This window comes from Homo sapiens, chromosome 20, assembly GCF_000001405.40.
Source record: "Homo sapiens chromosome 20, GRCh38.p14 Primary Assembly".
In the NCBI taxonomy this organism is placed as follows: Eukaryota; Metazoa; Chordata; class Mammalia; order Primates; family Hominidae; genus Homo; species Homo sapiens.
The window spans coordinates 17,707,093-17,734,331 of NC_000020.11; the positions used below are offsets into that span (position 1 = coordinate 17,707,093).

Genomic DNA, 27,239 nt, shown 5'->3' on the forward strand with positions numbered 1-27,239 from the left:
GAAAATCCCAGCCGGGCGCAGTGGCTCACGCCTGTAATCCCAGCACTTTGGGAGGCCAAGGCAGGCAGATCACGAGGTCAGGAGATTGAGACCATCCTGGCTAACACAGTGAAACCCCATCTCTACTAAAAAAAAAAAATACAAAAAATTAACCGGGCATGGTGGCAGGCGCAGTCCCAGCTACTGAGGCTGAGGCAGGAGAATGGCGTGAACCCAGGAGGTGGAGCTTGCAGTGAACCGAGATCGCACCACTGCACTCTGGCCTGGGGGACAGAGCGAGACTCTGTGTCAAAAAAAAGAAAATCCCAGTAAGGATTTAAGGGAAGATGCTGGGAGTAGCATGTGGTCCCCGAGTAGGAAGATGGAAGTACAGCAGAGGCAAGAATGGCAGTCACTGTTTGTAGATATTTTTCACAGGGAAGGTCAGAACATGTCCCAGGGAAACCATGTCCAAGGTTCAAGATGAGAATGACCTGATCCTATATATATATATACTTTTTTTTTGAGATGGAGTTTTGCTCTTATTGCCCAGGCTGGAGTGCAATGGCACGATCTCGGCTCATTGCCACATCCACCTCCTGGGTTTAAGTGATTCTCCTGCCTCAGCTTCCCGAGTAGCTGGGATTACAGGCATGTGCCACCACACCCGGCTAATTTTTTTGTATTTAGTAGAGACGAAGTTTCACCATGTTACTCAGGCTGGTCTCGAACTTCTGACCTCAGATGATCCACCCACCTTGGCCACCCAAAGTGCTGGGATTACAGGCGTGTGCCACTGCACCCAGCCCCAGCCAAGATTGTTTTTTAAGAATCAAAACTTGACTACGGGCTGGACACGGTGTCTCATGCCTGTAATCCTAGCATTTTGGGAGGCCAAGGCAGATGGATCACTTGAGGTCAGGAGTTTGAGACCAGCCTGGCCAACATGGTGAAACCCTGTCTCTACTAAAAATCAAAAAAAAAAAAAAAAAAAAACCAAAAAGAATTAGCCAGGTGTTGCGGTGCATGCCTGTAATCCCAGCTACTCGAGAGGCTGAGACAGAAGAATCACTTGAAACCAGGATGCAGAGGTTGTGGTGAGCTGAGATCATGCCACTGCACTCTAGCCTGGGTGACAAAGTGATATGTCTCGAACAAAAACAAAAACAAACAGAAAAAAACCTGAGATCCCTGATCCACAAAAGCCTGAAATATGATGTCAAATTGTATTTATATGTGCAAGGGGGCATTTTTCTTGAAGGAAGGTCCATAGCAGGAGAGACAAACCGTGGCATGGCTTTGTTTTGTTGGGTCCATACAGCATTATGAATATTTGAATGATTTCCCAACATTTAAAAATTGGATACTAGTACATAAAAATCTAAACGTTGGGCTTCTCTTGAAAAGACTCAGAAGAGCCAGTCACATGGGACCCACATTCCAGAAAGGGGTGGCCTCCTTTAGATGGGGTCTGGGACCTCAGTCAGCTACACAGTCCATAGCACTTTTGTGACCTCCTCAGTGGATGTCCAATGTTGGTCCTCTTTTATCAGCGCCCTTGCACTGTTTTCTTCACTGCTTTATTTTTTTAATTTGCCTTGTCCCTCTGGCTTTTTCATTTGCAACCCGTGATTTGAACTTTTAATAGATGCTCAAAGGGTGGCTGATTTTAAGAAGATCATTGAAACCGAGATCTTTTTTCCAGCTTAAACTCTTTCCCAACAATCCAGTGTTGAAACTGACCCTTAGTAGAGGCGGAACACCACCCTTCCCAGGCCCAGAAACAGATTCTTTTCCTCCTAAGGAATGCGTGTATGTTGTTTGTCCAAGCGCATGTTTACAAATGGCAAGCTTATCTTCTGATGTTATAAAACACCAAAAGCTATTTAGAAATTACTGAAACTCCTATCTATAGTTTCTGCAAGATACTGCTCAGGTGATAATGCAATCAATGAAAGCAATGACAATCTGGGAAATCCTTTCTTTATAACCTTGAGAATGTGGCTTTGAATGGAGACAAATCAAACAGATAGAACTCTTGCTCAGGCCCCTTTTCTGAAGCCAGAGCCAACAAGCCTAGTGATTTTCTTTTGAAAGGGTCTTAAGTAGGTCTTTGCATTTGGGAAGATCAGGCAAGTCACTTAGAGCCGATTTCTGAACTGAGACTCACAGAAGCACATACTCACACCCTCCTATCTGGAGACATGTGGACCTGGAGGGCTGGAGGAACTCAGATGCCTTGGTCCTTAGGAGGATCCAGAACCACCGCACTGAGGCCTAGCAGGCAAGGGCAGGACACACAAAATGTGAGAGCAGAGGAATGAAGGAAAATTAAATCTTGGGCGAGGCATTCTGTCCAGCAAAGAACAGGAGGTGAATACATGGCACGTGGGCCTTCGATATCCTATGAGTGGAATGAAGGCAATGCTTAAAACACTGCACCACTGCACAGCTCCACCTGTACACAAGATGCCCCTTTGTTTTGGGGCAGCCAACTGCTGCATCTCCTGTTTATATGTGCACCCAAGCAGAGGAAGTCAGTCCAAAGCTAGAAGGAGGGAAAATGATTGCCCAGAAGCTCAATGGAAGCCTTGCTTAATATCTCAGTGGTTGAGAACACAGATATTAGGCTGAGGCCCACTCGGTTTGAGGCCTGGCAATGCCATAGGTCAGTTAATTTATCTTATCTGTGAAATGGGATAATCATAGAAGCTATCTCATCCCAAGGGCAGGTGGGTGGATGAAATGAGATGATCTTGGTGCGGAGCTTAGCACGGTGCCTTGGTAAGCCTGGATAAGCATGAGCCGCTCTCTTAGGTGGGTTTCCCAGTTGCTGACCTGATCATCTAATTGCAGTGCAAGTAGTTGATATGGAAAGGGTTCCTGGTCCCATGAGGAAGGGAGTGAGGATGTGAGACCGGGAAGGGAAGGTGGCCTTGAGCAGTTACTGCCATGAGCACTGGGGGCTCCCTCCCACTGGGGATGTCTGGATATCACCTAATGTGGGACAGGCCCCAGAGCTGTGCCACCTGAGGGGTGTGGGGCTGGGTACTTACCCACCTACTCACATCCTGGCCGAGGGCTGCTCCCAAGGTGTCTCGTCCCCAGCCCTGTCCACTTGCAGGGCGAAGAGCCACCATGGAAACCATGAGCCCTGGGGGGGACATGGGCAGGGCAGGGACAGCGTCTGCTAAAACTGTCCTTGTTGTTCTGACTCCTGTCCTGGAGAGGGAAGAGCTGGTCTTTGGAACCACCCAGACCTCAGCCTGCAGCTCATCACTGCCTTTTACTAGATAGGTGGCCCCCTTTGCCTCTTCGGGCCTCCATTTTCACATCTCTTAAAATAGGAACAATTCTCTAATGTTGCAGAATTCGTTTTGAGGACTATGCATGACAATGGCCATACAGAGGCAGGCACGTAGTAGGCGCTCAGCCACCATGAGCCCCCTTACTCGCCAGCTCAATTCGGTTCCATTTCTCCCGCTTGCCTGTGATCCTTATTCTGTTTCTAGTCCCGGGGTGAGCCCAGGCTGGCACCAGACCTTCTTTCCATGTGAGCAGGGACAAGCTGACATCCAGACTAGTGCTTGCCTCCGAGGTGACTTCTGAGTGACAAGCTGCTGCAGTGATCTCCCAAGCTGTGTATTATCATCTTGTTTCCCCTTTAGCTTCGAGCCTCGTCAGTCTGTGGCTTTCATCAGATCCAGAGAGGGTAGAATAACTGGCCGGCCTAACGGCGGCTGAGCCAGGAGTGGAATCCCAGCAGGAAGAACTTTGGACCCTTGCAGTTCCCGCAGCAACCCAGGGCTGGGTGTGTGGGCAGATCTGGGGGCTTCTGCTGAGTCAGACTGTGTGGGAGTGTTGGGGCGGGGGCGGGGGCGCCGCCAGATGAAATCAGGATGCCCAGTGAAATTTACATTTCAGATAAACAAGAAAAAGCCCCTTCTGTATAAGTACAGTCTGTGAAATACTTGGGCCATACTTATACTAAAAAGTTATGTTGTGTTTATCTGAAATTCAAATTTCACTGGGCATCTGACATTTTTATTACCTAAATCTGGCAACCCTACTCTGGTGGGAACGGAGAACAAACCTCCTGGGAGGTCTGGGTTAGAGATGAGCACAGCAATCCTCCTGCAGGCAAAGGCCAGTGTGGAGCCACTTGCCTGCCCCCAGATGGCCTCCCCCGGGGCCCCCCTCCAGGGCCTGTAAAGCCCTCATGAGAGTCACTTTTGCCTGAAGACATTGTTTAACTGCACAGTGGAGTCAGTTACAGATTCACTCTCACCACACTTACCCGTATAAAGAAAATACGATTCTTTATTCTTAGACACCTCCACACAATGTGGTAAGAACAGAGTAGCTGCAAATTATGTATGTGTTGGGTGGGGTTCCCTGGAAGCAGAGCCTGAGAGCCGGGTTCCGGTGCCCCTGACCTGGTGAAGGAAGCAGGAGAGGGCAGGGGAGGAGCTGAGAGGTGTGCACCAGGGGCACTCAGCTTCTACCTGACCCCCTGGGGGGCTCTGGAGCCGGAATGGTACCAGGGAGTTGGCTCCACCTTGAGACAAGGGGGTTAGGGTTTTGTGCTTCCACATCCGCAAGCCATTAGTTGCTCTTAGGCAGAGGCCTGGGCCTTGCACCTCCCAGGTGTCTCCAGGTGTAGCAGCTTCCACGGCAGAGGTGACAGTCCAGAGAAAGCCACAACCACGCATTGAGGTTCCCTGCAACACTTGTAGCAGCTGGGTGCACCAGCTGGTCAAGGAGACCTGCGCATGGCACCAATGGCACCTACTACTCTCTGTCTCCTTGCAATGGAATAGTCAGATTCTCTCCAGGCCGTGTTAGAGAGTCCCTGTTGGGAGGTGCGGTCTCCTTAGGGACTGCTCTGCCCCTCCTCCGTCCTTCCTAAAGAGTGATGGCTGCCAGGTGGGTGTGGAGACAGGTGCTGACTGTGTCTTCAAGGCAGTGGGGAGAGGGGACTTTGAATACCCACGGAATCTGCAGGATGATGGCCTGAGCCTGTGGCAGTGCGGCTGCTGGAATCTGCTCCTTGCCATGGAGGGGTGACCAGTCCCTTTTTGTCTTTTAGGGCTATCTTAGTTTCCACTGCTGCAGCCTGTGGCCTGGACATTTGCCCATGGTTGTGAGGTCCCCATGCATGGGACTTCTTCCTCCTGACTCCAGGCTTCAGTTCACCCATCAGGCCTTAAAGCATCTTCGGCCCTATCTTGCCCTGAACTTTTTGCTGCAAAAACCAAGGGCACTGCCTCAAGCTTATCTTCCCAGCCACTGTTTACTGCTGCTACATTGTTGCCCAAGACACTTCAGAAGTGACTGTTGTTGTCATCTCCTGCCAAGTCCTGGAAGGCAAGCCACCAAGTCCCATGCACCATTCCCACAGCCCGACAACCTTCCTGACTCTACCCACTGGAATCTAAAGAGTCTGCCCACTTCTGGATGTTTGTTCAGGTAGGGAAGTTCAAGCCCCGTGCCCATGAACGTTCATCTTTCTTTTCTCTTCCACCTTCCCTGGGAGGGTAGTGCGGATAATGAGGTGAGCCTTCTTCCTCTTTCTAGAATCCATGGGGCAGAGAAGGTAGATTCTCCCTTCCTGTCTTCTGGGGAAACTCCTTCTCCCTCCCGAGACAACATTGCTTTCCCCTTCTCTGTGGGGTAATAATGGCAGAGAGAGGCGGGATCAGAATGCTGTACTCATAAGGGGGTGTATATTGAGAGGTTTAGAAATATGTTACAGTGCCCCTACGTTTATAGCAGCATTAGTAACAATGGCCAGATGGTGGAAGCAACCCAGCTTCCCATGATGGATGAATGGAGGAGCAAAATGTGGTGTATACAATGGAATGTTGTTTAGTCTTAGAAAGAGGAAAAATCCTGGCCGGGCATGGTGGCTCATGCCTGTAATCCTAATATTTTGGGAGATCAAGGAGGGAGGATTGCTTGAGGCCAGGAGTTCAAGACCAGCCTGGGCAACTTAGGGAGACCCCCCGATCTCTACGAAAAAATTAAAAAATTAGCTGAGCATGGTGGTGCATATCTGTAGTCCCAGCTACTAGGGAGGCTGAGGCAGGAGGATGGAGGATCACTTGACCCCGGAGTTCAAGGCTGCAGTGAGCTATGATTGCACTCCGGCCTGGTGATGAGCAAGACTCCATTTTAAAAAGAAAGAATGAGAGAGAGAGAGAGAGAGAGATCCTGTTGCATGGATGCACCTTGAGGACATCAAGCTGAGTAAAATAGGCCAGTCACCAAAAGACAACCCCTGTGTGATTCCACTTCCATGAGGCATCTAAAGTAGTCAGCTTCATAAAGACAGAAAGTGGAATGGTGTTTGTCAGGGGCTATGAGGAGGGGGAAATGGGGAGTTGTTTATTGGATATGAGAATGTTCTGAAGATTGGCCCAACAACGTGAGTACATTGAACACTACTGCACTGTACACTTGCAGATGACTAAGATAGTCCAGGCGCAGTGGCTTATGGCTGTAATAATCCCAGCACTTTGGAAAGCAGAGGCAGGAGGATTGCTTGAGGCCAGGAGTTTGAGACCAGCCTGGGCAACATAGCAAGACCTCATCTTTACAAAAATATTAAAAAATTACCCGGGTGTGGTGGCTCGTGCCTGTAGTCCCAGCTACTCACCAGGCTGAAGCAAGAGGATTGCTTGAACCTGGGAGTTCGAGACTGCAGTGAGCTATAATCAGGCCACTGCACTCCAGCCTGGGTGACAGACTGAGACTCCATCTCAAAAATAAAAAATAAATAAATAAATAAATAAATGTTAAGATGGTAAAAATTTAAGTTGTGTATTTTACCACAATTAAGAATAAAAAGTGGTCTGGGCACAGTGGCTCATGCCTGTAATCCCAACACTTTGGGAGGTCGAGGCAGGCAGATCACCTGCGGTCAGGAGTTCAAGACCAGCCTGGCCAACATGATGAAACCCCGTCTCTACTAAAAATACAAAAATTAGCCAGGCATGGTGACAGGTGCCTATAATCCTAGCTACTTGGCAGGCTTAGGTACAAGAACCCGGGAGGCAGAGATTGTAGTGAGCCGAGATTGTACCACTGCACTCCAGCAGCCTGGGCGACAGAGTGAGACTCTGTCAAAAAAAAAAAAAAAAAGAAAGAAAGAAAGAAAAAGAAGAATAAAAGGTGAAAAAAAATACATCTATTACAAATGCAGATATCTCATCCATGAAGGGTGAACTAATATGCTTGTCCATTCTTTATATGACTTATTCTATTTCATCAGCTCCTGATCCTTTGCAGATAACAGGACCCCAAAGGGAAGGGAATATTTTCATGAAGGAAAAATGCAACCAGAAATAGTCCTGGCTAGAACCACTATCAGACAAGTATGTCCAGCCTAGATGGAATTTTATAGACAAGGGACAATTCTATTCACAAAGGTTGGGAGACAGAGTCATGGGACAAGGAAGGTGGAGGCTGCACAAGCTGGGAGACAAGCTGGCTTCTTCATGGATCGTTGCAGTTTGCCTTGGCTGCAGGCATGGTGATCTTAGCACACATCCATGAAACCTTACTTAGAATTGCTGGGGCCAGAAGTTCTAGGGAATTCAAAATTTTTTTTTTTGAAAAAATGGGCAATGTGATGCCTCTTTTGTATATTACAGAACATTCCTAGTGGAGCCTGGCTCAGCACCCTGTAAACCCATTAATATTCCTGTGGTGGAGTGTATAAATATTCACACTAACTGGGATAATAAAGACTATAAATAGCCTCATGTCAGTTCAGGCCAGCATTTGCTGCCAAGTAAGTCTCCCCGCCCTGTGCCCCCAAAAAGAATTTCTGGATTTCAGAGCCATTTGGATATGAAAATGGTAGCTTAGGGATTGTGGACCTGTATGAATTTTATACCATCTAGAGACTGTAAATGAACAGAGACAAAACATAGGAAGGAACCAGAAGGATGAGGTCAGTGAATTTAACGCTGATCTTATAAATAAGAAATGGAGGTGACAGGCCCAATGTCGCTCTGCTGGTCATTGGTGGAGCTAAGGTCAGACAAGGATCTCCTACCCTCAGCCCAGCTCCTCCAGCAGGAGTTAACAGGAACCTCCAGACCCAGAGTCCATGAAGCTGAGCCGCCACCTCCTTCCTAGTTCCCTGAAAAGGTGAGCCCTGCCTTTGGGAATGCCTCCTTATGGCTAGTACACCGTGTGTGGTGTGCCCTGCCGTGGGCTGGTTCTGTTTTCTCTGGGAGAGGTATCTGCAGAAGACATCGTCCTGAGGGTTCATGCACTTAGCTCAAGGCCTTGCACACAGATGGCACTCAGTGAATGTCTGAGGAACTGTTGAATGTATTTGGTTATTCATCACCTGTAGACCCATCAAGATAAGGATGTATAATCAAAGGGCCATGTGTAAGACAGCCAACAAGGAGCGGAGAAAGAAAAAATCTTGTTCCCCATTGCAGAATCGGAGCTAACGGCAAGGAAGGCAAATATTACTTTATTTTTGAACAACGAGCATTAGTGGTCATTAGAAAGTGATTTCTTTCATTCCTGATGCCTAAGCCATGGGCCTGACCCTGCCCCAGCACTCTGGGTGGAATGGGGAGGCCTTTGTGCCCAGCACAGTGCTCGGTACACAAAGCGTGTGCCACAAACACTTGTTGGATGAGTGAGTGAGTGAATGAGTATTAGGGGTCATCAGTTAGAACTCTGTTATAAAAGGCACAATCCTAACTTAAACTGAAGTAAGCAAAAATGACTATTTTGTTTATTTTTGCCTGACATAATTGAAAAGTCCAAGGGTAGTCGCCGTCAGGCATGTCTAAATCCAGGCCTGCAAATGATTACTGGGGACTCTGTCTCTTCCCTTCTCTCAGAGCTGCTTTCCTCCACCCTGGCTTCTTTCTCAGGTGAGCTCTCCACAACTGTGGTGACCATGACCACGGTAGGCTCAGTTCCCACCCGCCGAGCAGCCCTCACAGAAAGTGACTCATGTGGCCCAAGAAGGTGAGGGGTGGTCACTTGCCTGCCCCAGGATACTGTGGTGAGCGTGGTACACCCTGAAAAGTAGTTCCTGAGTGGACTGTACAAAATGGAGCCCTGTGGAAGCTCTTGAGGCCATGAGCTTCCATCCAAAATGGAGGCATTTCTCCCTCCGGTGTATGAGTGCAGCCTGACAGGGTCTCCTCAGACCCTTAACAGCCTAGGTGGGAGAGGGCTCCTCAGAGTCCGACCTTCAGTGTTATAGGAAGGTTACCCCCCTTCTTTTCTTTTCCTTTTTTTTCTTTTTTGAGACAGGGTCTCCCCTAGGCTGGAGTGCAGTGGTACGACCACGGCTCACTGCAGCCTTGACCTCCCCAGGCCCAAGCAATTCTCCCACCTCAGCCGCCCAAGTATCTGGGACCACAGGTGTGTGCCACCATGCCTGGCTAATTTTTGTAAAGACAAGGTTGTGGCATGTTGCCCAGGCTCACCCGTCTTTCCTTTCTATTTTTTTTTTTAAAGAAAGAGACAGGTCAGGTGCAGTGGCTCACACCTGTAATCCTAGCCCTTTGGGAGGCCGAGGAGGGTGGATCACTTGACCTCAGGAGGTCAAGGCCAGCCTGGGCAACATGGTGAAACCCCGAGCCAGGTGGTGCGGCATGCATCTGTGGTCCCAGCTACTCGGGAGGCTGAGACGGGAGAATCTCTTGAGCCCAGGAGGCGGAGGTTGCAGTGAGCCCAAGATTGTGCCACTGCACTTCAGCTTGAGTGACAGAGCAAGACTCCATCTCAAAAAAAAAAAAAAAAAAAAGAAAGAAAGGAAGAAAGAAAAAAGAAAAAGAAAAGAGAGACGGGGTCTCACTTGGTTGCCCAGGCTGGTCTTGAACTCCTGGGCTCAAGTGATAATCCTCCTGCCTTGGCCTCCCAAATTGTTGGGATTACAGGAGTGAGTGATGGCACCAGGCCAGCCACCCTCATTTTCATTCTTTCTCTATGAAACACTGATCATTTGAAGGGAGAAACTGCAACTCTGGAGAGTGTGGGTAGAGGTACAGGGAGCCAGGAAGCAGCATTGACAGTATTCCCTCAGATTCTGAGGGGTGAGCATCTGAGCTCCCTCGGGCTTGACTCCATCAGTGCAGAGGTCCCATCATCCTCTCACTGTAGACCGAAGGCACAGCAGGCATCCAAGGAACAACCCTGGGGTCATTCTCACCCTCATGCTCTCCCCGCTGCTTGTTGCTACAAGACTGGAGTGTTCTCAGGGCATAGGGGTGGGTGCTCTGTTTTCCTATAAATCTGCTTGGTTTGGGAGATACTTATATTCCATATCTGTGAGGAGTTAACTATGTAATAAAGTAGCTTTTAATAAAGGATGTCAGTGCTTTGAATATACGAATCTACATTTTAAAATAAAAGTAGAAACAGAAAATGAAGGCACCGAGCAAAAGAAGCAAATTTAACTACAAAGTGAAAGAGCTATTCATCTAGGCTAGTTTCCCTATATGGTCATTAGGGTTAGCTCAGAGCTTCCTAGTAGGCCAAGTAAAAAAGGAAACAAGATCTTTACAAATTCTTTTTATCATAAAGGTAGAAATATACCAATTTTGAAAGGCATACTTTTTTCTTGGCATTAAGTTCCAAAAGAAATATATCATGTGGGATAATTTATAAAACAAAATGTGAGCAGCAACAGTCTCAACCATGTTCCCACAGATGCAGATTCCCCTGCCCAACCCCTTGTGACTACTGTCTATAATAGATGAGGGAAAAACACTGATTTTAAGTATTAACATCCCACTTCCCTGGGGTAGGCAATATCACATGTGTCTAAATATAAAGCAAACATGGAAAATAAGATAATCTCACAGTTTCTCAGCAAGAAAATTCCAAAAATGCTTTTTGGCCACTTGAATATATAAACTTTTAGGGATATAGATAAAATAGTCTTACAGGTACCATTTGATTTCATAATTTAATTACACACAATTGAAATAACATATTACATAAAATAATATTTAGAAATGTTCATGTAGCAATCTGTTAATGGCAAAATAATACATGAAAATATTGCATTTTTCCCATTGACCTTTTGCAAAAACAATGGTATTCTAATGGGAGTCACTTTTTGTGTTGTAGAGGTGTTCGTTTGTTTGTTTTTGTTTTTGTTTTGAGATGGAGTCTCACTCTGTTGCCCAGGCTGAAGTGCGATGGCGAGATCTCAGCTCACTGCAACCTCTGCCTCCCAGGTTCAAGCAGTTCTCCTGCCTCAGCCTCCCGAGTAGCTGGGATTACAGGCGCCCACCACCATGCCTGGCTAATTTTTGTATTTTTAGTAGAGACAGGGCTGCTGACCTCAGGTGATCCACCTGCCTCAGCCTCCCGAAGCGCTGGGATTACAGGCATGAGCTACCGCGCCCAGCCTGCATTGTAGAATTTTTAGAGAATAACAAGTTCACTTCCAGCCAATGGTGGAAGAGATGTCCCTTTTTGAATCCATGTATAGTGTCCCCACTGGAAATTGTATCCCAAGCCCCAAATAGCCATTTGTATGGCATTGGAGCAGTTCCCCATCCTCACCCCATTTATCTGATAGTGGGGACATATTTGTGATCACCTCCTTATGAAGACCTGTCATACAGCTTTTAAAAATAACCTTAAAGGATGTCAAACATTTGCAACTGGGAGGTCATTCCTTTGGGAATTGAGATTAAATTCTACTGATTCCTTTATTCCTTATTTAAAAAGTTGACGCTCTAAGCATCTAAAACCAGAATTGTTTTTGGTCATTCCCTGCCGATGTGTCCTCCCCAAACAGGACTTTGTGGTTCAAAATACAGTAGGGTCATTGACAGAACACCCTGTAATACAAGAACTTTTACAGGACAGGATTATGTTGAGGCATCTGCTTAGTTCTGTTGTATGATGGCCAAGTGCTTAAGCTGTCCATAATGGACCCAATGCTGCAGCTCGCCCGGGGTTACAAGAGGGATGCCTTAGAAGAGGGGCGCTCCCCTGAAAGATGGAGAGCTGGTGTGCTTTGCCAGGTGCATGGTTGTTGTTGTTGTTGTTCTGTTTCGTTTTGTTTTTTGAGATGGAGTTTCACTCTTGTCACCCAGGCTGGAGTGCAATGGCTTGATCTCGGCTCACTGCAACCTCCGCCTCCCGGGTTCAAGTGAGTCTCCCGTCTCAGCCTTCCGAGTAGCTGGAATTACAGGTGCCTGCCCCCACGCCCAGCTAATTTTTTTCTTTTATATTTTTAGTAGAGACGGGGTTTCACCATGTTGGCCAGGCTGATCTCGAACTCCTGACTTCAGGTGATCTGCCTGCCTCAGCCTCCCAAAGTGCTGGGATTATAGGTGTGAGCCACCACACCTGGGCCAGGTGCATCGTCTTGAACAGGTCATTTACCTTCTTAGGCCTTGGTTTTCTTATGGGAGAAATTAGGGGTTTAGGCTAGATTAGAGAAGGATTTCGGGGAGCCCAAGGAGGGCATGGGGATGGCATCATGTGTTGGGGGGCTCTAGTGTCCTCTTCTCATTCCCAAGTCAACAGAGAGTAATTCTGCTTTGATCTATTTTATGTAAAGGAATTCCAGGTATAATTTCCTTTGAAGTAAAGATCCCTTTTTTTAATTAAAAAAAAAAAAAAAAGAGGAGCAGCTTGTTATTCAGGTCTGTCTGCTCTGAAGTTCTCTGACTTCAAAGCCATTGGGGTCATAGTTGTCTTCCTATTGATGGCTAATGAGGACATGATGCGCCTGGTGATTTGGGGGTAGACACTGCCTGGGAGCTGCGAGCATGTGCCATATGGCAGCACAGACGCTGCAGATCCCCCCGCAAAGGCCCATTTAGCTGGAACCCCATCATCCCAGCAAATCTGCTTGGAATTTTATCAGATAGAAGCAAAGGACAAGACGTGGTTCTCCAATTTTGCAACATACTTGAGTCACTTGGGGAGTTTTTAAAACTTCTATGTCCAGGGCATACCCTATGCTAATGAAATCAAACTCTGGAGGTGGGATCCAAGCATCAGTAATTTGTAACTCGCCCCATGTGAGGCCTAATGTGCTGTCAAGTTTAAGAATAAGTGCCACTGGTACAGCCGCTTGGAAAACAGTATGGCAATTCCTCAAAAAAATAAAAATAGAATTACCATATGATGCAGCAATTTCACTTCTGGGTATGTACCCAAAAGAATTGAATGCACGTTCTCAAAGAGATATTTGTGTACCCATGTTCGTAGCAGTATTATTCACAACAGCATAAGGTGGGAGCATCCCAAACGTCTATCAATAGATGAAGAATAAACAAAATGTGTTGTGTACATACAATAGAATATAGTTCAGCCTTAAAGAGGCAGGATATTCTAAGACATGCTGCAGCACAGATGAACCTTGATAACATTATGCTAAGTGAAATAAGCCAGACAGAAAAGGACAGATATTATATAATTCCACTTAAAATTTTTTTCTTTTTAGATTCTCTGCAGGGCAAGTTCTACACAGTTCCACTTATATGTAACTTCCACTTATATGAGGTATCTAGAGAAGTCATTTTAATAGAAACGGAAAATAGAATAGTGGTTGCCAGGGGTTGCAGGGAAAGATGGAGACTTGCTCTTCAATGGATATGGAGTTTCAATTTTGCAAGTTGAAAAGAGTTCAGGAGATTGGTTGCACAACAATGGGAATGCACTTAACATTACTGAACCGTGCACTTAAAAATGATTGAAATGGGACATTTTATGTTAGGTATATTTTACCACAATTAATGCAATAACATAAAAAGAGTAAGTGGCATCATGAATGTCTTGCTGGTGGAAGTGAGGTCTGTGGGCCAGCAGTGTCACATCTGCTTGGAGCTGGTCACACATGCAGTATCTGAGGCCCGTCCCAGACCTGCTGAGTCAGCACCTGCATTTTTTAACAAAAAACCCCCAGGTGGTTCGTGCACTCACTCAACTTTGAGAAGTGCTAGTTGTAATGAACCAAACATTAGACCAGGGTTTAGAAGGTCAGAAGATGTAGCAGACATTGTTGTTTGCCTACCCAGCATTCATTTCCTCTCTTCCTTCCTTCCTTCTTACAGAAACTGACGTTCTCTGAGTAGCCTCATGTTTCAGAGGGGGCTCATCTCATCCACACTTCCATAGCCCCATAGTGGTCCCATTCCCCTGGCCAGTGGCTGCTTTACAGGTGGGCATGTTGCCTGGTTCTGGCCAATGAAACTAAAGGAAGTTCCACTGGAGAGTTTCTGCGGGAGGTTGCCTCCCTTAAGGACACCCAAGAAGAAAAGACCTCTCCTTCATTTGGAAATTTTTTTTCTTTTTCTTTCTTTCTTTCTTTCTTTTTTTTTTTAAGACGGAGTCTCGCTCTGTTGCCCAGGCTGGAGTGCAGTGGCGCAATCTCAGCTCACTGCAACCTCCACCTCCCAGGTTCAAGCAATTCTCCTGCCTCAGCCTCCCGAGTAGTTGGGATTACAGGTGCACACCACTACGCCTGGCTAATTTTTGTGTTTTTAGTAGAGACGGGGTTTCACCATGTTGGCCAGGCTGGTCTCCAACTCCTGACCTCAAGTGATCTGCCTGCCTCGGCCTCCCAAAGTGCTGCGATTACAGGTGTGAGCCACCACTCCCGGCACCTTTGGAAGTTTGCACATTGGAATAGGACCCAAGCAAATTCTGGACCGCTGTTCACACAGAGTCATTGACTGATAAGATCCTGGGTCCACCTCATCAAAGGATTTCTTGTTATATGAGATTAGAAGTGTATTTATTGTTTCAGACCACATGGGGCAGGATTTTTCATTACTTATAGCCCAGGGTTTCTTAACCTCGATGGTATTGACACCTAGGGCCAGATAATTCTTTGTTGTGGGGCAGTTGTGTGCATGGCAGGATGCTTAGCAGTGTCTCTGGCCTCTGCCCACTAGAGCCAATAGTCCTTCCCCCTCTCCCAGGTGTGACAACTCAAGTGTCTCTGGACATTACCAGTGTTCCCTGGGGAGGGGGTCCAATGGCCCCCAGTTGAGCACCACTGTTGCAGCCAAAGGTGTCGTAAAGAATGTGAAGACCTTTTTATTCTGACCTCCGACGTTGCTGGAGAGCCCCAGGAGGGCAAAAGTCACTGCCTATGTCCACACCCCAGAGATGTTGCAAGGATCAAAGTGAGCTCAGGTGTGTGAGAAAAGCAAACACACACAAGGTGTTACTAAGCATTACCCGTCTTTGATGCTGCTGATGCATTGATAGCAATGTTGTAGTTTCCATTTATTCTTAGATTTCATAGGCAGAGATGTTTAACTTAACAGATGGCCAGCATGGATAGTGAATGGAATTTTCCCTCAGCAAAGGCAGAGCGGCTCATGAGACTTTCAGGCTTTTCCTTGCTCAGAAATTCTGGATTCTCACCCAATTCATCAATCCCAATTCTCAATCCCAATTCATCATCCCATAAATCCATGGGTGCTGAGGCGTTCTCCTGTTAACACCTGAGTTAAACACCATCTTGTACTTACGAAACATATTTTCACAGATGAAGAGTGAGATTCCTATTTAGCTGCTAAAGAGAGGTCGATGCCCTCGGCTCACACATCTGTGGATTTAAGACCCACAGAGTCAGGGGACCCTGAACAACCTCTCATGTCTTTTGCTCCCCTTCCTAGAATCTGCTGACACATCAAGGCCACTTTTCTTAGGAGCCCCCTGACTTCCAAAATCAGTGCCTTTGGATTCATCTCTTCCGGGAGAGTTCAGTGTCTTCTGAAATGTTACAAAACGTCCTTCAGAGCAAGAAGGCGTACACGAGGAGCTCGACTCTGTAGAAAGGTCTGGAGGAGGATGGGGACAGGAGAGGGGATGGGGCTGTGAAAGGGAGGCGTTGGATGCACCTGATCATTTACGTCATCGAATGCTTACCATGTCCTCAGCAGAGGGGCTGGTGTTGGATTGGGGAGCAAAGGCCATTAGGAGGCAGCTGCAGCCCTTCGGGGCTTCATGATCTGCTGGGGAATGTGTGGAGGACATTGGGTCATTCCTGTATCATAGTCCCATATTGTAAGGGGTAACTATCCCCAGGAACAGGATAACTATCTTGATTTAGGTCCCCCCAGCCCCACCCCTGCAGCCCATGGGCTTTGAGGGACACTGACTTCCTTGCTGAGCCCAGAGGTAGAACACACATATCAAACCACAATTTTTGTTTTAGGGGTTGGCGTATTACAGTTTGAACCAGAGAGGGCATTTGTTGGGGGCCCCTAGGAAAAGATAGCTTTGTGTTTCTTTGGGGGAGAGGGCTGTGGCTTGCAAAGGCAATGCTGCAGCCCAGTTACTTCCACGAAGGAGTTAAGCTGAAGATTGAGCCCATTCACAAAGAAAGACTGAGTCGAGAGAGCTGCCGGGAAATCAAGCTGAAGCCTTGCTCAACCTACGTCTGATCTACCTCTGGACTTTTTGGTAGCATGTGCTAATAACACCTCCCTATTGTGTAAACTGATTTACACTGAGTTTTGTGTTACTTTCATCATAAACTGTCCAAACTGGCACAGAATTTTGTACCAGGAAGGGGATGCTACAATGAACAAACCTTAAATGTGGATTGGTTGAGAAGAGACATTCAAGCGGACAGCAGCAAAGATGTCTCTATCAAACTTGGAAGATGGCGGCCGGGCGCAGCAGCTCATGCCTGTAATCCCAGCACTTTGGGAGACCGAGGTGGGTGGATCACCTGAGATCAGGAGTTCAGGACCAGCCTGGTCAACATGGTGAAACCTCATCTCTACTAAAAATACAAAAATTAGCCGGGTGTGGTGGCACACACCTGTAATCCCAGCTACTCGGGAGGCTGAGGCAGGAGAATAGCTTGAACGCAGGAGGCAGTGGTTGCAGTGAGCCAAGATCATGCCATTGCACTCCAGCCTGGGCAACAAGAGCGAAACTTCATCACAAAAACAAAACAAAACAAAAAACTGGAAGATGGCAACCCTCATTTAACAAAATGGCCGGTTTTGCTGGGATGCAGACCTAATGCTTATGGAACCCATGATATTTCGAGATCTTCCAGGAAATATTCAGGATGTTAGCTACCTCTGGCAGTCTTCATTAAGGTCCTAGGAGACTCAACTCCTGGGAGATGGTGGTCCATTTAAAAGTGGAGAGGGATGAAAATAGTTTTGCTAAGACAGAGAGTCTTTTTGCCTGGGGCCTGCAATCTAAAGTTGCAGGAAATTGATGAGCAAGTCCTGCTGTTTGGGAAAGCTGATTTATCTGGCTAAAGTTAGAGCACAGGCAACAAATGAGGTGACTTAAGCAAAAGCCACCTTCTCTTCCTTCTTTTGAGGTGGAGTTGGTGAGGCCAAAGAGTGCTGGAGCAGCCCTTTCACCACCATGAGGGGAGCCAAGCAAGAATAAAGCCAACACAAGGAGGGAAAGCTGGACAATCCCTGAGGAATGGCGCTGCGACCCATTCCCACCTGCAGGCTTTGGATTTCTATAATGTGTTCTTTACAATTTGAGCCAGTTTGAAGAGTTTCTAGAGAGTTTACACTATTATACAGTGTGATGAACACTGAAATAAAAGTATGACTAAAGTGTTGGGTGGTTAAGAGAGAAGGTGGGTTAATTAGCTAAGAGAAGTAAGTTGTTGCTTTAGGCATTTAGAATGGGGTGAGTTGGAAAGAACCCACTGCAGTTCTTAATATTAAGCACACTCTTTTCGTGGAAATTTATTTGACTCATCTGTGGCCATCATTCGGCTTCTGTTTGTCCATCCAGGTAGGAATGGATGTGTGAAGGCCTTAGTGGAGGCCAGTGCACCTGCATTTAGTAGACCCCGGGAAATGCTGGATGATGGAAGGAATTCTGCCATCTGTTGCCCCAGTCCCTTGGTGGGCTGAGGGAGTTCCCCAGTGTCCATGCACACTGGGAGAAGTCAGGTATCTGCTAATCCTCCTCTCTCCCCACTGCTGTCGCAGGAGATGGACAACATGTCTCCCAGGCTGAGAGCCTTCCTCTCCGAACCCATTGGAGAAAAGGATGTCTGCTGGGTGGATGGCATCAGCCATGAGCTCGCGATCAATTTGGTCACCAAAGGTATCAATAAGGTAATTCATATTTTCTTACTTCTCTGACTTCTCTTCCCTACCTTTCTTCCCCCAGTCCTGCCAGATGGCAGTTCCTGCCACGTGTCCCTGTGAAGGGCCATCAGAGAGCAAAGCTGCCGCTTGGCGGGGTGCCACATGCTTTCGTGCTATTGACCCCACATGCTCAGGCAGCCTCAAGGGCCTGCAGATGATGGGCACATACACATAGAATGGCTTCAGTTCAGAGCAGCTGGGCTAGGCATGATTCACTTGGTGTTCAAACACTCAGGGATCAACAGAAGTAGGTCAGCCGCCGGGGTCTGAGATGAGCTGTCAGGATGGATGATTTAGGTGCACTCCATGCCCCCATGAAGGGACTCATGGCATCTCGCTTGCCCCTGCCAGGGCACCAGCCTGGCAATGGGCAGGTGAAGAAACAGGAGCCTGGGGTCTACACTAGAGTGAGTTATTCTATGATGTCACTCTCAGCCCAAGAATGACCTCAAGGATATCCAGTGGAATTGGAATATTCTTTTCTACGTCATTGTTTGTTTTTATGGGGCTTTTAAAAAGCTGCTTAGGGCCTCAGGAGAGGATGAGACAGTCCCAAAGACAACGCAAAGAGAGTGAGCACAGACAAGGCAGGCTGTGAACTCACAGAACATGGCACGCCCGGTCAGGAGAGGCACCAGCTAGAGCTGTTGCTCTTCATTCTCCTCAGTGCCCCAAGTCAGTCTACCAGGCGGGACAGTGTTACAGAAACACCCAAAGAGGCTGGGAACTGCTGCACACATGGCTGACGACTAGTTTGGTTTGCATCTACATCTGAACCATGAGAGCCATGGTTTTCTGATTACCCCATTGCTCTGCACTAGCTGGTAAATACTCAGAATAACACCCCAATCTGTGAGCCAGTTTAATGTCCAGTAGATGGTATCATCAGAAATGGAAGTGCCCCTATTGGGTAGATTGGATTCTTTCCTGCCAGACGAAGGAGGGAGAACCATTCTCTGGGGAACAAATTTTAAATGAAAAAATTTTTGTACTTTTATTATTTATTTATTTATTTATTTGAGACAGGGTCTCACTCTGTTGCACAGGCTGGAGTGCAGTGATGCCATCTCGGCTCACTGCAACCTCTGCCTCCCAGGCTCAAGCGATCCTCTCACCTCACCCTCCCATGTAGCTGGGACTACAGGTGTGTGCCACCATGCCTGGTTAATTTTTTGTGTTTCTTGTAGAGACAGGGTTTTGGCATGTTGCTCAGGATGGTCTCGAACTCCTGGACTCAAGTGATTCAACATACCTCGGCCTCCCAAAGTGCTAAGATTATAGGTGCAAGCCATCACACCTGATGAAAAATTCCTTTTTTAAAAAAAGAAATCATTCTTCTTTTTACTTTCCTATTGTGATGTAACATACCGAGGAGAATATGTGTTGATATAAAGGAATTCACAGATCAATGAATTTTTACACACATATGTACACCTATGTACCCACTACCCAGATCCAGCAATCAGATGTCTCCAAAATTCCAAATGGTTCTCTTGTGCCTCTTCTTGGCCAAGGCTATCCCCTATCCTTAGAGGTAACCACTCTTCTGATGTCAAACAGCATTGATTAAATGTGTCCATAATTGTGGGGTTTTGTGGTTGTTGTTCAGCTATACTCATTATTTTAAAAATGTTTTTATTAAGGTATAATTGACATACATACATTAAATTTCACCCTTTTTAGTACATAGTTCTATGAGTTTGGACACATGCATGCAGTGATGCAGCCGCTACCATAGTCAAGACACAGAGCAATCCCATTACTCAAAATATTCATTTCCTTGTGCTCTTCATATTCACCAGCCTCAGTCCCTGGCAACCACTGATTTATTTTCTGTAGTGTTGCCTTTTCCAGTTTAAGTCTGTGTGTGTGAATAGCTTAACTGTGTTTTAAATGAGGATTATAGGTGGGTGGGTTTTAGAACAAAAAATGAATGAATAATGGAAAAATGTTAGGCATCTGAAAACTTGCCTGTCGAGTCAGGGCTGTGGGGACGGTTTGTCTGTGTGCAGCCGGGTCCCTGGAGATGTGCTCCTCTTGTGTCCATGACCTCCTGGCCAGTGCAGTGAGCACTTTCCTAGAGCTGCTAATTTTAGGCACTGGCACTGGGGCTGTCACCTGTATCCTTCGCTTTGAGCCGCCCACACCCGTGATTGAGATGAGGGTCACTCTCTCCACTTTACCAGTGAGGAGACAAGGGCTCCGAGGAGCAGTGCCTTGTCCGCTCCCAGGTGAACTGGAGCAGCCGTGGATTGTACTGTCACAAATTGCACAAGAAGATCTGTGGCCAGGCGGTTATGCCCGGCAGGGAGGAGGCTTAGACTAAATTTGGGGGTGAGAGCCTGTATCAGGGTCTGGAGTCCGGCTGGGCCTGTAGTGAGACCCAGGAGGAGACCCAGATGCGGCCCCTCCGAGATGGGCAAGCGCTTCAAGGTGAGGACCCATCTGAAGTCAGGGCCAGCAATGACAGCATCCTGGGCGGGCAGATCCTGGCAGGACAGGGTTCTCAGATTTAGCCAATAAAGATGCTGACTCTTGGTGGTTTTTATTTTGTTTTGTTTTTGGTTTTGTTTTTGTTTTGAGACAGTCTCATTGTATTGCGCAGGCTGGGGTTCAGTGACGTGATCTCGGCTCACTGCAACCTCCTCATCCTGGGCGCAGCCTCCACCTCAGCCTCCCAAGTAGCTAAGACTAGAGGCACGCACCACTATGCCCAGCTAATTTTTTGTGTTTTTTTGTAGAGACACAGTTTTGCCATGTTGTCCAGGCTGGTCTCAGCTCCTGGGCTCAAGTGATCCTCCCAAAGTGCTGGGATTACAGGCATGAGCCACCACACCCAGCCTCTTGTATTTTCATACCTTGCCTGCAGGATACATAATCCTGGCACAGGGAGGGACATCTTTCTGAGCCTCACGTGACCTCCTGTCTTTGCTGGCTTCTGCCAAGGTGCAGCCATCACCCTCCCCTGCTCCCCGTCCCACCCCAGGCTGGGGCTCAGCCTCAGTTTCTTTGCTGTGCACAAAGCCACCTTGGGTTCCGCCCTTGCTTGTGACGGCGTTCCTGGCCTCGCCCCATGGGCTCTGCTCTCTCAGTCCTTTCTGCACCCTCTCTGTGCACCTGCTGGAATGCAGGCCTGTGGGCCACCCTCACACTTACCTCCCTGGGCTCCGCACTCAGCCATCGGCTCTCTCTAGAGACCCAAGGGTGCTGGATGCCCTGGGGGAGATGAGACACCAGCGCCCCCGCTCCACCCCGCCAATTTATCCGGATGTCCTATTACCTCTCTGGGAGTCCCCTTCTCAAACTCTTACCAGCCCCTACATTGAGTACCTTCTCCTCCATTCCTCCTCTCACACAGGTCTTTCAGCTTTTTTTAATGGAGGATGTGGGGTGCTGGGAGGGGACTGTTCTTACTGCCTGTCCCCATTTTTCCCAGAGCTTTGGCTTTTGGCATGCACTGGTCTCTGGCTCCTGGTTTAAGTCAGGACTTTCAAAACTATTGAGTCTGCCATGGATCTACCTAAGCCTCTTCGGGAGCTTAAAAGCCATATGTGATAGCCTTCTTCTGGGTGTTTTGTATCTGCCCTTCCCAGGGGCAATCAGCATCAGCTGTGGCCTGAGGATCTAGATCCAGACAGCGGCCGCAGGTACCTGTGCCCTTGTCCGAACTGAGATGTACTAGAAATATAAAACACACCCTGCAGTGTTAAAGACTTAGCCCAAAAAAGGAACGTAAAATAGCTCATCTGTAATTATTTTATTGATTACACGTTGAAATGATAATATTTTGGAAATATGAGAGAAAATATATTTTAGAATGAATTTCACCTGTTTCCTTCCCCTTTTTACTGTGGCTACTAGGAAAATCAAAATCACGTATGTGGCTAGCTCACTTATTTCTGCTGGACAGCACTGGTCTAGATGTAAGGGCGAAAGAGCCGTAAGGGAGAAAGGAACTGTGGAAACAGAAAATTCATGGTGCACATGCCAATGAGGCTCGCTGTGCCTGGCTCTAGCTCTGTCTTGTCTTCTCTGTCCCGCTGCCCCATCCCTGATCCCTATACTACAGCCAGACTATCCTCGAACCACCCTCCTGCCAACTTGGAGCCTCTCTTGAAATGGGTTTTGAACCCCTTCAAGACCCTACTCACAGCCCACCTCCCCTGGGAAGCCTTCTTTCTGCCACCCCACCCAACAGGCTCCTTTTTCTGAGCAGTTTGGGTTTTTGGTGGGTGCCCCATGTTGCGACATCTGACAAAAGTTCGACTCTAGCTGGGCACGGTGGCTCACGCCTGTAATCCCAGCACTTTGGGAGGCCAGGTCAGGCAGATCACTTGAGGTTAGGAGTTTCAGACCAGCCTGGCCAAGGTGGTGAAACCCGTCTCTACTAAAACTACAGAAATTAACTGGGTGTGGTGGTACATGCCTGTAGTCCCAGCTACTTGGGAGGCTGAGGTGGGAGGATCACTTGAACCCAGGATGCAGAGGTTGCAGTGACCTGAGATTGCACCACTGCCCTCCAGTCTGGGTGACAGAGGGAGACTCTGTCTCAAAAAAGAAAAAGGTGGACGCTAGTTTGTCTGCACATGCCCCAAGAGTCCACACTCACAATGTTAGTGGCACAGCTTGCCTGTGCTTTTCTCCCTAAGTTCCTTGGAGGCAGTGGTGGGTCTGTGTTCTTTGTACTTCTCTTCTCCCTGTGAAAACCCCACCTATGGGTAGGTGAATTTTCAGACATCCCCCGAATGCAGAACTGTGGGGCAGGGCCCTGTGGGGCGGGTGTGCTTGAGTTCTCCCACAGTGCAAAAGTAAGTTTAGCATTGCAGAGAATCTGGTTTGGTTCAATGCTCTTTGCAGACACTATAAAGCCATATCCTTGAGCCTAAATATTCCTCCTAAGAGCTGCCTGAAGGATGAGACTGGAGGAAATAGAAGCAACACTTGGCATTTGCTTCATGTCAAGCACCTCTAAGTGCATTATGTATATTTATCTCATTTAATGGTAAAAAACAATCCTACAAAGTACACTATTTCATTTCCATTTTCCTGATTGGAAAGTGGAGACGCATAGAGACCACATGTGGATTGCTCAAGATCACATGGGGTGGTGACAGAGATGAAATTTGAATCTGGGCGGATAGGCTGCAGGGTCTGGACACCAAGTCATTGTGCCGTCTGCCCCTAAAACTGAAGCTGTGAGGAAGGTGCTTCTCGCGCGGCTTCTCTTACCTCCTTACCGGCGAGGCTCTGCTCTCCCTCGCCCTCACCTCCTTACCAGCGAGGCTTGCTCTGCTCTCTCTCGCCCTCACCTCCTTACTGCAAGGTTCTGCTCCCTCTTGCCCTCACTTCCTTACAGGCGGGGCTCTGCTCTCTCTCGCATGCCGGCAGCCAACGATAGCCCTACCTCTAGACTCTCCATGCTCAGGGGCGTCCCATCTCCTCCCTCCGTTACTTCGTGGCCACTGGTGGACAGGAGCGAGACTGAGTTCAGGACCAGAAGGCCGCAGTGTGGCCAGGCCCTGCCTCCATCATGTCCCCAGGTGTCCACAGCGAAGCCTCTGAAGGCTCCAACTCCTTTCTGTCCACTCTGCTGGGTGGGCGGTGAGACGCTGTGCTCCACTGCCTGATGTCTGAGCCCCACAAGGGGCCCGTCACGTAAGTTTGGGATTTTTCTGCCTAGGGTTGCCAGATCAAAATTCACATTTCAGATAAGCAAATAATTTTCTTAGTGTAAAATTAAAAGACAGGGAGGAGGAAGAAGGGGTAAACATTCCCTGAAGTGAGGATTCACACCAAAGACACAGAGTTTAAGCCGGGCGTGGTAGCTCCTGCCTGTAATCCCAGAACTTTGGGAAGATCACTTGAGGTCAGGAGTTCAAGACCAGCCTGGCCAACATGGTGAAATCCCGTCTGTATAGAAAATACAAAATTAGCCACGCATGGTGGTGCATGCCTGTAATCCCAGCTACTTGGGAGGCTGAGGCAGGAGAATCACTTGAACCTGGAAGGTGGAGGTTGCAGTGAGCCGCTATCGTGCCACTGCACTCCAACCTGGGCTATAGAGTGAGACTCTGTCTCAAAATAAAAGAAGAAGAAAAAAAAACACACAAGAGTTTAAACCTGAAATGACATGAAGACTTAGGCGACTGGCGAGAGAGAATCAAAGAAAGTTGTGTCACTGCACCATGGAGTCTGGTGGTGATTGAAGTCCGTTCAGCACAGGTGCTCAGGACCTGCGGACTTGGGCAGAGGGCATTGTAAGCAGCTAGAGAACAAGAGAGGGCAGAGACAGCTTATCTCTGCTTGACAAGGCCCAGCATTATGGTGAGTACTGAGCATTTTAATAAGTGTGGATCTCAGCCAGCTATTTAATTTTTAGGGCCCACTGTAAAATGAAAATGCAAGACCTCTAGTTCAAATTTATTAGGGGGTGTAGTGGCACGTGCTTGTAGTTCCAGCTACTCGGGAGGCTGAGGTGGGAGGATCATTTGAGCCCAGGAATTTATGGTTGCCAAGAGCTACTGCATGCTACTGAACTCTAGCCTGTGTGACGGAATGAGATCCCGTCTCTTAGGAAAAAAAAAAAAAAAAAAAAAAGTAGGCCAGGCGTGATGGCTCACTCCTGTAATCCCAGCACTTTGGGAGGCCGAGGCGGGCAGATCACGAGGTCAGGGGATCGAGACCATCCTGGCTAACTTGGTGAAACCCTGTCTCTACTGAAAATACAAAAAATTATCCAAGCGTGGTGGCACGCACCCGTAGTCCCACCTACTCGGGAGGCTGAGGCAGGAGAATCGCTTGAACCTGGGATGCAGAGGTTGCAGTGAGCCAAGACCGTGCCACTGCACTCCATCCTGGGCAACAGAGGGAGACGTCGTCAAAAAAAAAAAAGAAAAAAAGGAAAACTAATAAAAAAATAAAAGAAATTTAGTAAGAATTTCCAGATGACAAGAGCCAAGTGTTAAACCAGCTCAGGGTGCTCTTAGCACCAGGCGCTGTGTGAAAACATGGCTCAGATGCAAGGGAACCCAACCCTGGCATAGGCTCAAACTGCTGCTGTTTAGCAAGAAGTGGGCACCGCAAACTGGAGGGTGATTCCTCCCCTGCTTGGGGGCCGGCCCCTGGAGGAACCTCACTGTTTGCACTTGGAGTTTAGGGGCATTCTGCCCTTGAGCCCCCATCCTTTTGTTTGTTTGTTTCGAGACAGAGTCTCACTCTGTTGCCCAGGCTGGAGTGCAGTGGCATAATCTCAGCTCATGCAATCTCCACCTCCTGGGTTCTCCTGCCTCAGCCTCCCAAGTAGCTGGGATTACACGCGGCTGCCACCATACCAGGCTAATTTTTGTATTTTTAGTAGAGATGGGGTTTCACTATGTTGGCCAGGCTGGTCTCGAACTCCTGACCTCAGATGATCTGCCCGCTCAGCCTCCCAAAGTGCTGGGATTACAGGAGTGAGCCACCACACCTGGCCGAGCCCCCCCTCTTACAGCTGCAGGACGGAATGTAATTCCCTGGCTTGGCCATGGCCACGGCCACTGTCCAGAGTGGTAGGAGGACAGGGACAGCTGCTCAGGGTTTCTGTGTTTCTGTGTCACCCCTCCCACCCCAGTAGCTGAATTCTGGGGAGCTCTGGCCCAAGGAGGGAAAGGGGCAGCATCTTTTCTCCTTGATTAGGGGGCTTTCTGGAGCCGGGGGAGAAACCAAGCGGGCATCTGGCAGGGCCATGATGGGAGCCCACGACTCCAGCTTCCCTGGGGAGCAGGGTGAAGTGCTCAGGGAAGAAGGGAGAAGGGAAGCCAACTTTCCCTCCTGGAAGATGCCACAGGGAGACAGGAGGGAAAACTGAGGAGGGAGTGTCAGGTTGCCACTTGGCTCCAGAGGCTGCAAGACGGGGCTTCCTGTAGCATTCCTGGAAAGTTTGCCCAGGGTCCACATGTTCCCAGGCATCCTGGCTGCTGAGCCTGTGGGTATGTGGAGGCTCTCACTAACAGGCCAGCTGATGCTGGCAGTGCCACTTCTAAAACGGGCAGGGGATGCATTAGCCTCCAGGCCAGACTGTGGACAGTTGGGAAGTGCAGGAATAGTGCAGAGGAAAACAGGAGACTTAGTACCTCCACCTGGGGAATGGGAGGGGTGAGTACATGTGAGGATCAGGTGGATTAAAACGTGTCAGGTGTCTAGCAGCACGTGGCCGACAGAAGTGCTAAAAAGTGCTACTTAGCATTAACTACTATTATTAAGTATTATCATGAACATTTCTCTTTATGGAGAAAGCTTTGTGTAAGCCACTTACTATTAATTATTGTTAATTATTATTAATATTCTCTCTCCTTGGACACAGCTCTATGTCTCTCGTTTCTGTTACCTTCACCTTGGCACCTCCCACACCTACGTCTACTGGCTCAATTAACACTTAATAAATGTTATTTTTCAAAAACATTAATTTAAATACATCTCAGTAAAATCCATTCAAAATGGGAGGATACTGATAAAGTAAAATGAGATCACGCCAAGTAACTATATTGCTTTTTTTAAAAAAGATTAAAGTAGCAGTTCAGAATCACCACAAAATCCTGGCTTTTTTCTCTTATCAACAACTGGACCATGACTAAAAATAAAGCCCCCAAAATTCAATGCTTGGGTATATTTTATGACTGGGATTCAGCTTTTATTTGATTTCTCTTCTTAAAAAGTATGCTCTCTTTGGTTAAGATGAAGTTTGCTTTATTTTACATAACTAAAAGTAAACAGACACCATCAGGTTTTCCTGGAAAGGGCCCAGAACTCGAGGCATGGGTGGATGCTGGTTCTTGTTGGTTCCAGGCTGGAGAGCCCCCAAAACCAGCCCTGAGAGATGGGCGTTTAATGTGACCTGAGCTCTCCAGCCTCCACCATTTAGTGGCTTGGCTAGTTTCTGGCTACGTGGCCTTGGGAATTCCCTTCCTCCATGTGGTCCTTGTGCCTTGTCAATAATGGTGTAATAAAACTATAAAAGATGAATTAAAAGCCTCGAGGCAAGTATTAATAGCTAGAAAGCTTGAGAATGCCATAAAAATAGAAATCACAGTGCACTGAGTGCTTATCTTCCATGTATTTTTTATCCACAGAGACTGAGGAAGGGGAACGTGGACAAGGTTTAGCATGTTT

The 27,239-nt window shown here is 47.8% G+C and overlaps 1 protein-coding gene across 6 annotated transcripts in view; it reads left to right on the forward strand.

Annotated features, from left to right (window-relative positions):
• Positions 1 to 27,239, forward strand: part of BANF2 (BANF family member 2) — a 42,200-nt gene that overhangs the window by 13,421 nt on the left and 1,540 nt on the right. For 2 of the 6 annotated variants that reach the window (NM_001159495.2, NM_001014977.4), the window contains exon 2: positions 17,931 to 18,059. In NM_001159495.2, coding sequence (NP_001152967.1) covers positions 17,931 to 18,059 — 129 coding nt within the window. Of the gene's footprint in view, positions 1 to 5,068; positions 5,449 to 15,623; positions 15,787 to 17,930; positions 18,060 to 27,239 lie in introns of all 6 variants that reach the window. The other 4 variants (XM_005260668.4, XM_011529170.2, XM_011529171.4 and 1 more) reach the window with 4 other exon arrangements.